Source organism: Homo sapiens, chromosome 5 (genome assembly GCF_000001405.40).
Source record: "Homo sapiens chromosome 5, GRCh38.p14 Primary Assembly".
Classification (NCBI taxonomy): domain Eukaryota; kingdom Metazoa; phylum Chordata; class Mammalia; order Primates; family Hominidae; genus Homo; species Homo sapiens.
This window is the reverse complement of record NC_000005.10, coordinates 70232917-70250418: the sequence shown is the minus strand read 5'-3', so window position 1 is coordinate 70250418 and position 17502 is coordinate 70232917. Positions and strand designations below refer to the sequence as shown.

General features: G+C 38.0%; 2 pseudogenes across 1 annotated transcript in view, besides 2 other annotated features; one reads left to right on the top strand and one right to left on the bottom strand.

The window, feature by feature from the left end:
- Window positions 1–17502, top strand: part of GUSBP14 (GUSB pseudogene 14) — a 162716-nt pseudogene that overhangs the window by 39759 nt on the left and 105455 nt on the right. The window lies entirely within an intron of this gene.
- Window positions 1418–1917: an enhancer, noted in NCBI's record as "H3K4me1 hESC enhancer chr5:69544329-69544828 (GRCh37/hg19 assembly coordinates)". NCBI's record gives its function as "activates a minimal SCP1, AML or CMV promoter by ChIP-STARR-seq in primed H9 embryonic stem cells {active_cell/tissue: H9 hESC(primed)}" and the evidence as "EXISTENCE:reporter gene assay evidence [ECO:0000049][PMID:30033119]".
- Window positions 1918–2419: an enhancer, noted in NCBI's record as "H3K4me1 hESC enhancer chr5:69543827-69544328 (GRCh37/hg19 assembly coordinates)". NCBI's record gives its function as "activates a minimal SCP1, AML or CMV promoter by ChIP-STARR-seq in primed H9 embryonic stem cells {active_cell/tissue: H9 hESC(primed)}" and the evidence as "EXISTENCE:reporter gene assay evidence [ECO:0000049][PMID:30033119]".
- On the bottom strand, window positions 16681–17370 carry LOC728526 (POM121 membrane glycoprotein (rat) pseudogene; annotated as a pseudogene).

Sequence of the window (17502 nt, the reverse complement as noted above, 5' to 3'; positions counted from 1 at the left end):
AATCGTTAGTTTAGGAAATCTGATAAAGATTTTTGAATATCAGAGCGTTTAAAAGAGATTCTTACTTTACATCTGGCATATTTCTTGTGTTACATATTATAATTTCATTGAACATGGCTGTCTGTAAAACTATGTATATGATCCGGAAGAGACTCAAATTAAATTAAGTTTTAACAGCCATCAATTCATTTTAAAATGACACAGGCATGAAAAATGATCTATCAAGATTTGTAAATCTTATTCTGTTAGCTATTGCTAGAGATAGTCTAAAGGTATTCTACTTGGAATTTGAGATCAAGACAAAGATTTTCTGTTAGTAATAATATTCAGATTATTTTTATTTTAATGTATAAATTTAAAATTCTTAGAATATTTTCAACAATATTTTCCATTTCTAAATTTATTTTATTTCTAAACAAATGTAATTACTTTATTTATTAACTTTTATTTTCAGTTCAGGGGTATATGTGCAGGTTTGTTATATAGGTAAACCTATAGGTAAATAGGTATACAGATTATTTTGTCACCCAGGCATTAAGCCTATGCGCGTTAGTGAAAAATGTTATTGCTTTAAATATCCAAATTATTCAGCTGCATTTGATCTCATTCTTTAGTCCAATGTAAGTAAGAGTAAAACAATGACATTTAAGGCCACCAGGCTATTCTCATTTTTGGAAAAATGCTGGATTACATTACCAGCATATTAAATGAGAATATCAAGGTGTAATATCTCCCTAGAAATTGTCTCACCTTCAATACTATTGACATTTTTGGACCTGATAATTTTGTTGTGGGCTCTAGCCTCATATTATAGGAGGTTTACCAGTTTTCCTGCCCTAAACTTACCGGATGTGAATAGCACACTCCACTACCTACAGCAGTAAAAACTAAAATTGTCTCTAAACATTGACAAATTGTCCCTGGTAGTGAAAATCACCCCTGGTTGAGACCGTGTTGTTGAAAATAAAACAAAAACTTTCACATCAATAAATATGTTAGGCTGTGTATGTTAAGGATTAACATTAAGACAATATGGAGCAAGCACTACATGAAAGCAGTGACGATTGGGAATTAGTGGCACATTATCCTAATAGTTAATATAGTGACTGTAATATCTAAATATCATCCTATAGAGTTTTTCTTAGATTTTTTCATTAGTATAACAGGATGTTGTGTATGTTACACTGTATATACTGTTATTTTGAGAGACAATTTTGGGAGATTTTGCCAAGGTATTTTCAATTATAGGTCTTTAATACATTCTAAGCAAGTGGGTCTCAAAAATGGGAATTTTACACCCCACATTCTTCTTCCCATCCGGTGGACATTTGTCAATGTGCGCAGATATTTCTGATTAAAAAAAAAAAAAAACTGTGAAAGAGAGGGTGTGCTACTGGCATCTGGTGGTCGAGGCTAGGGATGTTGCTAATCATCTTACAATGTACACGATAGTTCCCCACAATGACTTTGAGAAACCCTGCTCTGACACTACTGCAGGATGAATTTTAAGCACAATTATAAGAGAGGACCTAGATATTGAGTTTTAAAAGGAGAAAATATAAGTACAAAAGAAGAATGAAGATTGTTACAACAGGGGCAAGTAGAAGTTAGAAGAAAATGTGATAAAGTAAATCTACATTTTAGAATAGTACTGGAAGTTATTATCAGGTGTTACAGACAAGTTTGAGACTTCCGTAAGTGACCTAAAGAAATTATGGACACTGCAAGACTAAATAATCATTCATTTAGGAAGGAGCTTAAATGCACTTTCTCAAGGCCGGGCGAGGTGGCTCACGCCTGTAATCCCAGCACTTTGGGAGGCCAAGGTGGGCAGATCACGAGGTCAGGTGATCGAGACCATCGTGGGTAACACGGTGAAACCCCGTCTCTACTAAAAAATACAAAAAAAAATTAGCCAGGCACGGTGGCGGGCGCCTTAGTCCCATCTACTCGGGAGGCTGAGGCAGGAGAATGGCGTGAACCCGGGAGGCGGAGTTTGCAGTAAGCCGAGATCCCGCCACTGCACTCCAGCCAGGGTGACTGAGTGAGACTCTGTCTCAAAAAAAAAAAAAACTTTCTCAAGCATGCTAAGTCACAAAATTTGAGTTATCCTGAGCTTTTTTTACTTTAAGCTATCAAGCCATTGTTTGGAATCTTCAGAACCTCTTTAGAGTTTGGGATTTAAGAGTCAGTAGGTAGATAGTGAGCTTAAGATGCCAAACACAACATATAAAGCTATAAAAATCCATATGATCTTGAAAGATTAAATGGAAGCCCAGCACAAAACAATTGCTGAGTATATTATTTACATTATCTGAAAGTATGCCAGACAGACACTTTATATGTTAATAAAGATATGAGAAAGAAAATTCCAAAGAGTTTCTAAAAAGTGAACAACCACAAAATTTCAATAGCTTGCAACAAACATTTTCTTCTCACTCATGTTACCTGATGGAAAATCAAATGGCTGCCTGGAGACAGCATGGAGGGAGAGACTGATTACTGAGGTGCACAAGAAAACTTTTCATAATGATGGTTGTGAATGTAGTGATATTTCCAAAAGTATATACATATATATATATATCTATCTCAAATTTGACCACATCACACATTTCAAGTATACTGAATTGACTGTGCATCTCTTATTATACCCCAGGAAAGTTGAAGATATGACAATGAAAAAAAAATTCTTCCACCGACTACCCATCAATTTTCTTCTCATTAGCCTCACAGATTTCACAGTTAATTAAAGGGAAGATGCAAATATGTTCAAACTGTACATATTCTGAGGCCCATACCTTGCCATTAGCTCAATAAAGAGAGACATTGTCCCTGGCATGAAAATGAAAAACTTGCACACTCCCTAGGTGGCTTCTGGACACTCTTAAGACATGAACACACTTTGGGGGCTCACCCTGTCAGGCTTTGCTCTCCGAGCTTAGATGAGAAAAACACAAAAATAAAACCAAAAGGTGACATTTAGGTGCCCATCAAGAAAGATGTGTTGGGAACTGGACAGGTCAGGGCTTTAAGTACTGTATCTTACTGTATGTTTAAGTACTGTATGTTACTGTGGAAACTTACCCATTTTCCCCTCAGAACAACTCTGTCTCAGGAGGTGAGTCTGAGAGCTACTGTTTCTTTGTAAAGGTTTTATCTGATCAGGCCCACGGTCACCACGTCAGCCCCACTGCCCCTAAATAGTTTGAATCTTGATGTTTTGATTTCAAGGACTTCTGATTCTAGCTACATAGCTTTGTCCATTTCCCACCTTACCACTATTTACTTTGAATTTTGTTGCATGCCGAGACCAGTGACTGCCACAAATGTGACTGTTCCTAGAATCTGCTTTCTGCTCTGATCTTTAGTCAGTGCGCAGACTCTAACATAAACTCCTTTCTATCGTATTTTCTTGAGTCCAAGAGCCCATAGATTGTATAATGCACTATTTTATGTCCCGTTAAGCAAGTAATTCGCATTGTGGCTAATTAAACTAAGACATACCACTGAATTGTAAAATGCATTATATTTTCAGGAGATATTAAAATATGAAATGTATAGGTCTTGGAATAGATGAATTGTGACAGTATCTTTGGAAAGCTAATTCAGTTGCAGTATTGCTTAAGATGTCTTTAAGAGCTGACTTCCTTTAGTTGGAATACATATGTAAATTATTTGCAGAGGAGATTTACCTCTTTTATCTCATTCATTTGTTTATTCAGTCATTTATTGATATCAATATGGACTAAGGAAAATTACATTTTTGGGTATAATCCAAATATACTACCAATTAATGTATTGTGTTGCTAAAATTATTCTAGAAATTGAAAGACCTTTCACCTGGCCCCTGTGCTTGTTTGACATATCTCACAAATAGATTTTTGTTAGTATTTTCATAATTTCTGGCACTAGAGGATGTCCCAGGCTCATCTTGTGTATTTTCTTCCCCATTCTTAGAATCAGCCACTTTCAAAGACGCCCTGCTTTCTATATATGAAATCAATATTTAAGTGCTAGCTGTGCCTGTAGCTAAGGGAGTATCAATTTTTTCATAGCTCTCTAAGATGAGAGAGCAAAGAAACAATGTGTATATTCTTACACATATGTAGACACATATCTTTAAATATTTCTATATGTAAACATCTATATTAGTCCATTATCCCATTGTTATAAAGAACTACCTGATCCTAGGTAATTTATAAAGAAAAGAGCTTTAATTGCCTCACAGTTGCACAGGCTGTACAGGAAGCAAGGATGGGGAAGCCTCAGAAAACGTACAGTCATAGCAGAAGGCAAAGAGGAAGCAGGCACATCTTACATGGCTGGAGAAGGAGGAAGAGAACTAAGGGGGAGATGCTACACACTTTTAAACAACCAGATTGTGTGAGAACTAAGTCATTATCACAAGAACAGCAAGGAGGAAATCTGCCCCCATAATCCAGTCCCCTCCCACTAGACCCCTCCTTCAACACTGGCGATTACAATTGGACGAGAGGTTTGAGAGGGGACAAAATGTAAACCATATCACCATCTATGTCTGTATTAAGCTAAACATGGGTTCTTACTGATGTCACTACCTCTAACCTAGTCCCGCAAGCATCAATGCCTTCCTGTATCTCTAAACCCCCACTCCAACAATAAAAATCCTGACTCTTACTTTGTGACATCTATTTAGTTAATTGTTCACTTCCAGTATATGTATATAGCTGTACCAGAATTGATAACCTGCCCTTAGTAGAAGAACATCTTTATCAACTAAATTAAGTGCCTTCGTACAAGTTTCTTTTGCCTTTCATCTTAAGAGACTGCACTCATTTTCAATATCACTTTGACTAGCACCCTTTCCCTTAAGTCCCTCACTGAAGTTATTTTGTATGGTTCATAATAGAGCTAGATAAATTTGTAACAGTCTGCATTCCATCCTGAGATTCTACAACCTTTTAATTAATTTTTAATTAAAAATATAACTTTTATTTTGGTAAATATTAGCACTTCTGTGCCACACTACTATATATAAATATCAAAAAAAGGTCCAGAAAGCTATAGAAAATTTGAGTAAAGTGCTGAATGTTGAACCTAACAATAACTGGGCTAAAGTAAGTACAGAAGGCAATTTTTTATTTATGTAAATTTATGGGATACAAATATAATCTTATTACCTCCATAAAGTACATAGTGTTGAAGTAAGGGTTTTAGAATATACATCACCTGAAAAATGTACATTGTGCTCATTACATAATTTCTCATCATCCCCTCCTCCCACCCTCCTGAAATTTCCAAGTCTCTGTTGTCTATCATTCCACATTCTATGTCCATGTGTATACATTATTTAGCGTCCAGTTATAAGTGAGAACATGCAGTATTTGTCTTTCTGTGTCTGATTTGTTTCACTTAAAATAATGACCAGTTACATCCATGTTGTTACAAAAGACATGATTTTATTCTTTTGTATAGCTGAATAGTATTCTATAGCGCATATGTGCCAGATTTATTAATGTAATCATCCACTGAGGGACACATTGCTATTGTGAATAGTGCTGTGATAAACATATGGGTGCAGATACCTTTTTCATACAATTATCTGTTCTCCTTTGGGTAGATCTCCAGTAGTGGGATTGTTGGGTGAAATTGCGGTTTTATTAAGAATGTATATTCTGTAGTTGCTGGGTAGTATTTTCTGTAAATGTCAGTTAGGTCTATTTCATCTAAGGTTGAATTTAAGTCTTAGGTTTATTTGTTTTCTGTCTTGATGATAACATTTAATGCTGTGAGTGAGATGGTAAAGTCCCCCAGTATTATCGTATTGCTGTCTATTCCTTTTTTATGTCTAGTAATATTTATTTGATGAATCTTGGTGGTCTAGTGTTGGATGCATATGTGTTTAGAATTGTTATATCCTCTTGCTGAATTGATCCCTTTATCATTATGTAATGACTTCCTTTGTCATTGTTATACTGTTTTAGATTTAAGTTCTGTTTTACTTGATATAAGTATAGCTATTCCTGCTTGCTTTTAGTCTCCGTTACATGGAGTATCTTTTTTCACCCATTTACTTTAAATCTGTATGTGTCTTTACTTTTCAGTCTGTATGTGTCTATATGTTTCTTGTAAGCATAATATTTTTGGATCATTTTTTAGTTCGTTCCATCAATCTACCTTTCTTTTTTTTTTTTTTACTTTTAGATGGAGTTTCACTCTGTCATCCAGAGTGGAGTGCAGTGGCGCAATCTTGGCTCACTGCAAACTCCGTCTTGCAGGTTCAAGCGATTCTCCTGCTTCAGCCTCCCAAGTAGATGGGATTACAGGTGCCGGCCACCACGCCTGGCTAATTTTTGTATTTTTAATGGAGATAGGGTTTCACTATGTTGGCCAGCCTGGCCTCGAACTCCTGACCTCGTGATCCACCCACCTCGGCCTCCCAAAGTGCTGGGATTACAGGTGTGAGCAACTGCACCTGGCCCAATATCTATCAATCTATATATTTTAAGTGGAATGTTTAATTCATTTACATTCAAGGTTAATGTTAATACATGAGGTTTTCTTTCTGCCATATTGCTGTTTGTTTTCTACTTGTTTTATAAGTTCTTTGGGGTTATTTTGTTGTTGTTTTTTGTTTTTCTTTCTGTGTGTCTCTTTGTCTTTGTGGTTTGGTGGAAATCTGTTGTGTTGCTATTTGATTGCTCGTCCTACTTTGTGTGACTGTTTTACAAGACCTATGAGTTTGCTACTTTCATGTGTTTTGATGATGATGATGAATGTTGACCTTTCATTTTTGTGTTTGGGACACCTTTGAGTATTTCTCATAGGACTCGTTTGGTGGTGACGAATTCCCTCAGTGTGTGCTTGTCTGGAAAATACTTTGAATCATTTCAAGAAAATTAACAGTGAGTTATGTCAATCAAGCCATTGGTTTGTATTTGGTGGCACATTTACTCTGTATTATTTCACACTAGAACCATCTGAGTTAAGTTTTATTATTTGCTATATGTTGCAGATGAAGAAACTGAAGCTGAGAGAGGTTTAGTGAATGACTAAAAAGGTTGTCAGGCTGCAGGGAAAAAAACAAAACAAAACTGTACGACTAGCCTGCAATGCTTCCCAAAGTATGTAGCTTATTATTATTGGTCACTTTTTGAGTACAAAATGCTGTGCTATGTAACAGAATAATACAATGTACATATACATATCAATTAACATAAGCATAACTGTAATCACATATACTGATAAATAAAAATATAAAGTAATATATGGTAATGACCCAACCATTTGCCTAAGTTTCATGTATTACAGAAGTTTTGAGGAGGGACTTCAGCTGTATGCAAATCAGCAATTCGGGTTGTACAGTTGATTACCCATTAGTTCAGAATTTTAATAATTTAAAATATATTTATTAAGAACCTAACAATTGGAAGACCTTACAATAGGTGGGAAAATTCGACAGATGAATAATGCTTAGGAGATATCAGCATGTTTTGGAAGGATATTCCCATGAAGAGAAAAAGTATCGTGGGAAGTGTGGGAAGTGTTATGGTGCGAGAGTAATACAGGTTCCAGCATGTGTTTACATTATTTTGTTGGAGGTGTTGGGGAACCTTTCATGGAAGGTGTGTGGTAGACTGTTGGACAGGTTTCCTCAACTTTCGTTCCACTCTTTGAAGAGGTTAGAAAACTAAAACAAAACAAAACAAGCAATGCAGCTTCCCTTGAGCTAGCTTTATGAATGCAGCTTAGACCACTTACCGATTGTTTGCATATGAATCAGACTTAGAAAAATGGAAGAGATCAAAGCCTGTCTTGCTATTGTTGATTCTGGCAAGTGAAATCATGGGGACAATAGTTCAGAAGTAGTGGAAGTGGTAGGATTCAATATCCTTGTGCCTAATCCCCAGTTTCATGGGCATAAGAGGCTTAAAGTTTTAATAGCAGGAGCATCTTTTTGACCCAGGATTGCAGAAATGATTGCGTGCCTTTGAATTCAAGAACTCAAAACCTTCCTCCATGCCACAGCTACTTTAGTTATTTTAGCCCTTCCTATTGTATATGTATGAAATGCACTTTCTGCTTAAGATACCTATTGCGGTTTTTATTTCCTTATTAAAACCTTGGAAAAATATAGCACTTAAATTATGTTTTGTAGAAATTCACTAAGCAAATAAAGCTAAAGGGGGAGAGAGTTAACCTTCTCTGCCCCCTTTTTATCAGAAGTTAGTTGTAGAAGAAATACACAATTTTTGCGCAATTTTAGCACCATCTAAGTTCTGTAGGTCTGGAACACAGACTGGTTAAATGAGCATTTCAGGAGCACTATAGTTGCAAAGTTAAGCAGTCACCACAATTTTATGTGTCATACAAAGATTTTTAACTTTATGTTTAAGCAACGAGCCTAGAAGCAAATGGTATTTCCATCAAGAATCGTCTCATATAAAGTAGAGCGTTTTGGAAAATGAAGTTATTAATAGATAAAAACATGTTTATGCAGTTGGTTTCTAAGTATGACAAACCTATTTCTTGGTAAATTGCAAGTCCATTCCACCTGTGTTTGTAGGCTCATTTGCCTAAAAGTCTTGGGATTTTTTCTGATGATCTATTAAATTTTCTTTCTGATTATCTTTTCTAATGCTGTAATAGCATTTCTAACACTGTAATGAAAGAGAACAAAAGTACACGCTTGCTCATCATTTACTAATTCTAAAAATATATATTGAATACATCTATGTAGCAGGTACTGTGGTAGGTGTGGAAGATAGTTGAGACAGGTAACAAGCCCAACATTACGGAGCTTAGCATCACCACCTAGAAGAGTTTTTAAAAAACATAGATAAGTGAATAATGATTATAAAGACAAAGAGATTCTTGCCATATAATTACATATAAGCAAATTTAGGATGTGATGAAAGATTTTGATATTGGTCTTCTGATTTGGCTGTAGGATGAAGTGTTTATAAGTCATCCCAAGGAAGAAACAATTCAGATGAGAACTATTCAATGGATTTGCAATAACAATCCAAAGATGGAAGAAGACACTTCTAGGTAGACAAAATTGCAAGTATAGAGAATGTAAATTAAGAGAGAGCTTAGCTTTCAGATGAATTAAAAGATTGTGGTGATCAGAATGTAGAGATTGACGAGAGACAAATGAAATAAAACTAGAAGGACAAGTAGAGATTTGTGGGTCAAGTTTTAAAATTTTATTATAAATGCACTGATACTGTTCTGAACATTTTCTTACACATGGAAATTTAATGATTATGGCTATTGAAAAATGTAACTCTTCATTTATATTTTTCCGAGAATGAAATCGGTGGAATTGCTGGGGGGTGAAAATGTCCAATGCGAAACAGGAGGCTAATTTAAGAAGGGATACTGCAAAATTGGTCATGATGGCTCAAACTGCTGTTCATAATAGAGAGAAGAAAATGGATAGAGTTACATATGGATGAGAGTAAATTGACAAGGCTAAATGCTAAAACGTGGGTAGTGACAGAAAGTAGGTGTCAAAATAGACTTCCAGGAAAAGAAAAAATGGGTCTACAAAAGAGCCAAATGCTGATGTGGGTTACATGATCCTGAGCAGATGCAGATGTAATTGGTTAAGTAAAGTAAGTTCTTAAGATAGATTTGGCCTGGCGCTATACATTCTAGAGCCCCTGAATATAAGTGGGATATAAAACCATGGGAATGACTGTATTTGTCTAAGGAGAGAATTTGGCAGAAGAAAAGGAGACATAAGATGAAATGCAGAGGAAATTCAAATTTAATTGGCAGGTGTAGGAAGACAAGGAGATGACAAAAGGAACTGGAAATGAGTAATCAGAGACAGAAAAGTAAAAGTAAGAGTAGAATGTCATGGAAGGCAAATAATTGGAATGTTTCAAGAACAGGGAAATGGGCAATAAAGAGAAGAAAAAAATAGTGACCAGAGGGTATAGTAATGTGTAGAAATTCATCCTGTGTTAGGTTTGATTGCTTAGACGTTTTATATAAAAATCTTTCCCAGAGAGTAATAAAACAGAAGTGAGGTTAGAGAAAGAACATACGATTTAGCCAAAAGGTGGGAAAAGTTAGGAAATGAAGAATAAATATGTTTAAAGATAATGTTATGGCTACTCAATGTACAACCTCTTTTCTTTCATTATTTTTAATTGTCATATTTAAAAATAGTAATTACCACTTTTAAAAATTGTCTTATTATTTGTTACATAAGAAAATGCATTAATTCAAGCCACATAGTATCATTTATATTATGACTGTCGAAACATTACTAGAATTACTAGAACTATTAACCTAATGGCCTGAAAATTTCAACTCACTTCCCTAGCTGTCCTGATGATCATTAGTGAAAGGAAAGACTCCATTAAATAATGCTTACTTATAGAGAACTGGTTATATCTGTCTCATTTCCATACATATATCTGTATAAATTAATTTGATTAATAAAACAAACACAAGGCACAAACAACAAAACACAGTTTATAAATGTCATTGAAAAATGCATGCCTGTACAATTTGGGTATTTGTAATTGTAAATTGATATACTTCATTTTTTATCCAGGAGTTACTTAGATTGAAACTTTACCTAATGTATGATAAAATAATACGTGATTAAATTTAAAAACATGATGAATTTATTTAAAATTGGCTTCAATAATGTCAGAAAGTAATAAAATAAAATGATTCCTTCAAAGACTGCACCTGTTTATTGCCTGAGATTATCTCTCTTGGCCACAAATCAATATTACTTTCTTTCATTCATCAGTGATAAAGCTTTTCAATAATTCTAATTTTAAAGGATGATTACAGCAAGTATATAGTCATTGATTGCTTAAAGGTTGCAGCTAAAATGAACACAATGGTCATTTTATTTTTAATAAATGAGCCCTTTTGAAAAGTCAAGCATTTTTCCTCTCACAAAACTTTGTGTAATAAGATTATAGATTTGATCATGTATGAGTTTGCACTGTGTGTGTGTATATATGTGTGTGTGATTTCAGCGATAAAGTTCACTGTTCCACAGCTGGCAATTTCTTCTGCTTAATTGAAAATTCCGTTTTAAAATATTTCTTTAAAGTTCTAAAATGGGTTTAAATGGGTTCATGAGCTGTAATACTATTAAAAATATATATATATCTACATATTTGTTGATTCTTCTCAGTTTAAGAAGTGGAGCTTCATACTCCTCCCCTTGAAGGCAGGCTAAGCTGAGTGACTCCCATCTAAGAAATAAAACACCGCAGGATTGGAATGTTACCTTGTGAGACAAGGTCACAAAGGCTAGGGTTTTAATTTTGAGTGAACTAATTTGCTCCTTACTGGTGTTTCTCTCTCTTTCTCTCCTTCAACTCTTTACGAGCCCAGCCACCATGCAAATAATTCCAAACTATCTTTTCTAGAAAGCTCACATGAAGAACCGAGGCATCCTATCTGATATCCAGCCAAATGATTAAACATTCTAGAAGCAGACTATGATGCACTGAATTTGTGAAATCCTAACCCCCAGTGTAATGATAGTAGGAGGTGGAGCTTTTGGTAGATGATAGTCTGTCTTCATGTTGGGGATTAGTGCCTTGATTATTATTTTTTGTTTTTATTTTTATTTTTATTTATTTATTTATTTATTTTTGAGACAGAGTTTTGCTCTGTTACCCAGGCTGGAGTGCAGTGGTGCCATGTCAGCTCACTGCAACGTCTGCCTCCTGGGTTCAAGTGTTTCTTCTGCCTCAGCCTCCTGAGTAGCTGAGTAGCTGAGACTACAGGTACGCACCACCACACCTGGCTAATTTTTGTATTTTTAGTAGAGACGGGGTTTCACCATACTGGCCAGGCTGGTCTGGAACTCCTGACCTCGTGATCTGCCTGCCTCAGCCTCCCAAAGTACTGGGATTACAGATGTGAGCCACCGTGCCCAGCCGGGGATTAGTGCCCTTATAAAAGAGACCCCAAAAAGCGTCCTTGCCCCTTCTGCCATGTGAGCTAGAGGACAGTAATCTATGAACTAAAAAATGGGCTCTGACCAGACACCAAATCTGCAAGCACCTTGATTTTGCACCATCCAGCCTCCGGTACCATTACAAACGTTTCTGTTGTTTATAAGCTACCCTGTCTATGGTATTCTGTAGCGACAGTGCAAACAAACTAAGACACGGACCTTCCAACACAAGTTAAAGGCTTCAGGGGATGCTGCCTGGGTCAACAACATGACAGCAACCTTTACTCATGAGAGACTTTGAGTCAGAACCACCTACCCAAATCCATCATTTCCCTGACTTCTATGAATTGTGTCATACATATTTGTTATTTTAAGCCATTAAGTTTTAGGGTAATTTTTAAATGGAAAAATACATGATCATAGGTAAACTATAATTAATAGAAAAATCTAATGCCAATAATATTTACCATTGATTGACCGTCAAAACTCCATTAATTATTTGCTTTCCATTTATATTTATTTTTGGATTTCTTTTTTAAGAGAATGGCACCTGTGACAGCATACTGTTAATATTACCCTTTTATCGTACTTTACCATGCCATCTCTGAAGAATATTACAGACCATTTTGGAGCATGGTGAATAAGAAATTTTCACCTTAGGAGTTCACTTGAATAGTCATTTTTATATTTGTGACTGCAAATCACTCTTAGGGGCTGTACTTCCTTAGTACTGGTAGCATTATTATCCAATGGACTTTTATAGCTTTCATTAGGTTTTCTTTTGTTTTTGTTCTTTAAAGAACGTTTTACTTATCTTAGTATTTCATTTTTCATCTATATTATGAGGCAGTAAGAGTCTTCTGTTTTTCCAAAGTTGAGACTGCTTTATATTTATTTCGTATTGTCTACAGCTGTAGTGTTCAATACATTAGCCACTAGCCACATGTGGTTATTTAAATAAGATAAAATAAAAATTGGCCGGGCGTGGTGGCTCACGCCGGTAATCCCAGCACTTTGGGAGGCCGAGGCGGGCAGATCATTAGGTCAGGAGATCGAGACCATCCTTACTAAGACGGTGAACCCCCATCTCTATTAAAAATACAAAAAATTAGCCGGGCGTGGTGGCGGGCGCCTGCAGTCCCAGCTACTCAGGAGGCTGAGGCAGGAGAATGGCGTGAACCTGGGAGGCAGAGTTTGCAGTGAGCCGAGATGGCGCCACTGCACTCCATCCTGGGGGACAGAGCGAGACTCCATCTCAAAAAAAAAAAGAAAATTAAAAATTAAGTTCTTTAGTTGCACTAGCCATATTTCAAATACTTGATGGATACATGTGGCTAGTGGCTAACATAAGGGATAGCACAGATATAAAACATTTGCTCGTCATATAAAGTTCTATTGGATAGTGCTGGTCTGTAGCTTATAGGATGGTATCTTAGTCTGCTTCAGCTGCTAAAACAGAATACCATAAATTAGGTAGCTTAAACAGTAGATATTTTGACCAGGCGTGGTGGCTTATGCCTGTATTCCTAACACTTTGGGAGGCCGAGGCAGGTGGATAACTTGAGCTCAGGAGTTTGAGACTAGCCTGGGCAGCATGGCAAAACCTTGTCTCTACGAAAATTAGCTGGGCGTGGTGGTGCACGCCTGTAGTCTGAGCTACTTGGGAGGCTGAGGTGGGAGAATTGCTTGAACCTGGGAGGCGGAGGTTGCAGTGAGCCATGATCGCACCACTGTACTCCAGCCTGGATGACAGAATGAGACTCTGTCTCAAAAAAAACAAAAACAAACAAACAAAAAAACACAGATATTTCTCACAGTTCTGCAGACTGGAAGTGCAAGATCAAAGTGTTGGCAAATTATGTTTCTTAAAGAGGGCCTGCTTCCTAGATTGGAAATGGCCATCTTCTCTCGGTATCCTCACATGGTAGGGAGAAAAGCAGCTCTAGTGTCTCTTATAAAGGAAGTAATGCCACCATAGGGGCTCTATTCTCATGACCTCATCTAAACCTAATTCTCTCCTAAAGGCCACGCCTCCCAGTATCCTCACCTTGGGGGTTAGGGCTTTATCATATGAATTTTTTTTTTTTTTTTTTTTTTTTTGAGACAGAGTCTCGCTCTGTCTGTCACCCAGGCTGGAGTGCAGTGGCACAATCTCGGCTCTCTACAAGCTCCGCCTCCTGGGTTCACGCCATTCTCCTGCGTCAGCCTCCTCAGTAGCTGGGACTAAGGCGCCCGCCACTGCGCCCGGCTAATTTTTTGTATTTTCAGTAGAGACGGGGTTTTACCATGTTAGCCAGGATGATCTCGATCTCCTGACCTCATGATCCACCCGCCTCGGCCTCCCAAAGTGCTGGGATTACAGGCATGAGCCACCGCGCCGGGCCTATCATATGAATTTTGAGGGAACACAAACATGCAGTCTGTAGCAGATGGTAATAGGCTGACATATTACACTTGTTGATGTAAATCTGATAGGTTTCTTTCTCTCCAAGGACAGCTTTTTAAATATTTAACAGTATCAATAATTTTTCAGGTTCTGTGAGAATTTTATAATTTATAATTTGCAGACTTAATGTATAATCTATTTTGTCCTAACAATTACAAATATATTTTTTATTTCAGATTGTATATATTCCTACCAGATGGAGATAATTACAGCTTTAAAAATTTTTATTTTTTCATTTTATTTCACACATTGACATTAAATTTTTATGGACACATAATAACTGTACATATATATGGGGTAGAATGTGATGTTTTAATACATGTACTCAATGTGTAATGATCAAATCAGGGTAATTTGCATAATGATTTTTCTGTAGGGAGAAAATTCAAAATCTACTCTTCTGGCTATTTTCAAATATATAATATGTTATTGTTAACTATACTCATCCTACTATGCAATAGGACACCAGAACTTATTCCTGGGTTCTACATCCGTTAAGGCAACCAAGGATTGGAAATATTGGAAAAAAAAATTGCGTCTGTACTGAACATGTACAGACTTTTTTCTTGTCCTTATTCCTTACACAATATAGTACAATAACTATTTGCATGACATTTACATCGGATATTATGAGTGATCTAGAGTTGATATGAAGTATATGGGAGGATGTGCAAAGGTGATGTGCAAATACTATGTCATTTTATATCAGGGACTTGAGTATCCTTTGTTACCCTCAGGAGATCCTGAAACCAGTCCCCCATGGATACTGAGGGCTGACTGTATAGTCCTATCCTCACGGAACTTTCATTCTAATGGGGGAAGACTGACTATAAACAAAATATATGTAATAGGTGGTGGTAAGTACCGTGGAGAAGTAACAAACGGGGCAAAGTGAGTTATACAGCTCCATTCTTAGAAACCTTGGAGTACTTTTCTTAGTTTATACTTGTGGTGGTTTCCTTTTGTCTCCTTTATTACATGGGACTCTGACATGTGCCCATAGCTAGGGTGACAGTAGGATCTACCCGATAGTAGGGTGGCAGTAGGATCTACCCAAAAAGCGTCCTGCTGATACAGGACCAAAGCATCCTGTTGTTCTCGAGCCTATAAAAAGAGCTAATGGTCTTGCTTCTCTTAACTGTGGCCTCCTACACTGTGTTTTGGATGATTGGTGATGTCTTGGATATTCTGTTTCTTTGGAACTTTGAATATACAACACTTTACTAGGGAATTAGCAATGGAAGCAGAGCAAAGATGTACAGAGGAAACAATGCGTAACTCTGATGGAATTGAAGTCATGAGGCAGCAGAGAGCTTAAATTACAGCTTTAAAAATTTTTATTTTTTAGAGGGAATTTACTTGGGAGTAACAGCAGTAATAGTTAACGGAGCCAGAATGCTTGAGTCATATAATTGCAAAGCAGAGTTGGGAGCAACAGATGCTAAAGAGTAGTTGCTGTAGTTCCTCTTTGGGTCGTAGGAGCAGTTGTCATATTCCTATATAGCTACTGCATGAAGAAGAGTTCTTAGTGAGGCCTGGGTGAACAGCTCTTCTTAGTATTCTGTGTGACCCCATTTGACCTTTTAACAAATCCCTAAGTAAATAAATAGCCCCTCAGGTAAACTAAGTTTTTCTCTGCTGTTTTTTTGCTTGAGAGAGCTATAACTGTAATAGACTTATATTTCTGAACATTTCAGTGCTTGCCAATATTTGGTAATATTTATGTTTCCTATATTTGTAATGAACATTCTTCTTCCGGTACATTTTTTGTTAAATTATTGTTTGATGGATAAAAGTTCACCCTTTATTGTATAAAATTGACTGAGATTAATTTATACACATTGACAATGGGTAAATAGAATTTTTCAGATTATTAAAAGCTGAAGGATGCCCACGTAAGCAAAAAAAAAAAAGAAAAAACCAACAAAAATAAACCCAAACCCCTCAAACAATTTCGAACACGAAACATTCTTCTGATGCCGGCATCCCTGCTTGCAGGTGTGAAGGGGGCAGGAATCAGCGAGGTGTCCTGGGCTGAGTCCCCGGAGTGGGAAGAGGTGGCAGGAAGGGGATCTGAGGAGGAGAACAGGGGTCCTGGTGGTCTGTGCTTCTTCCCAGACACGGGAGCTGTAGAGGAGACCTCTGCAGCAGATGCTAGGGGGGCCAGTAGGCCCAGGCAGTCTTGGGACTTGGGTCTGTCCTGCTGTGCATCCATAGTGGGTGCTTTAGAAACGGGAGGCCCACCCGAAGTCCCTGTTGCAAGTGAGGACAAAGTGTGGGAAGGCCGTGAGGGTCTGCAGTCCGGGATGGCCTTGTCCTCAACGTGCAGTGCACTGTTGATGCGCTGGAATGCCGTCTCTTTTTCCAGGTGCAGGTCTTCAGCCGTGACCCGGTACCCCAGCTCTAAGGGAGGTGGCAGCATCAAAGGCTCCCCTCGCCTGCGTGGCAGCAGGGGAATCTTGCGTCTACGGGGCCTAGAGTCCTGGGATCTGGGGGAGCCACCCGTTGGGGCGATTGTCTGCCCTGGTGCTGTATCTGCCCCCTTTTCACACCGTGTGTGACCCGAAGAGACAGCCTGAGGCCTGTCCTCACTCACTGTCTTTGAGTAACTGAGGGTCAGCTGGCAGCGGGATGAGGCTGGCCCCCTCCTCTGCTTTAGCCCCGGCAAGCCTCCCGTGGAGCTGTAGGAGCTGGAGATGGCATTTCGTTTGGTGCTCGAGCTCGTCCAGGATGTCTGGGATGTGTGGTTATATCTGATTTCTGAGCTCTGGGCGTGGAGGTCTGTCTGCAGAGGCCCGGGCCTGGGCACAAAGGGAGAGGGGCCTCCATTGTCCCGCAGGGGCCAAAATGCAGACCGTGCATCCCCGGTGACCTCGGGGACCGTTCTCTGATCATCAGGATTTTCTTGGACTCTGGGGTCCTTGTCCTGCTCAGGCATCCCTGCCCCGCTCTCCTTGAGGGCCCTCAACACTATCTTCCCTGGACACAAGTCTGGGGACAGCCGGGTGTTGTGGACCCCAAAGGGGTGACTACCTGCTCCTGGGCCCCACAGAGTCCTTGTGCTCAGTGTAGTGGCTGAGCTGGGGGATGCCCTGGAACTCGGAGCACACAGCACTGGCTTACTGTGGTA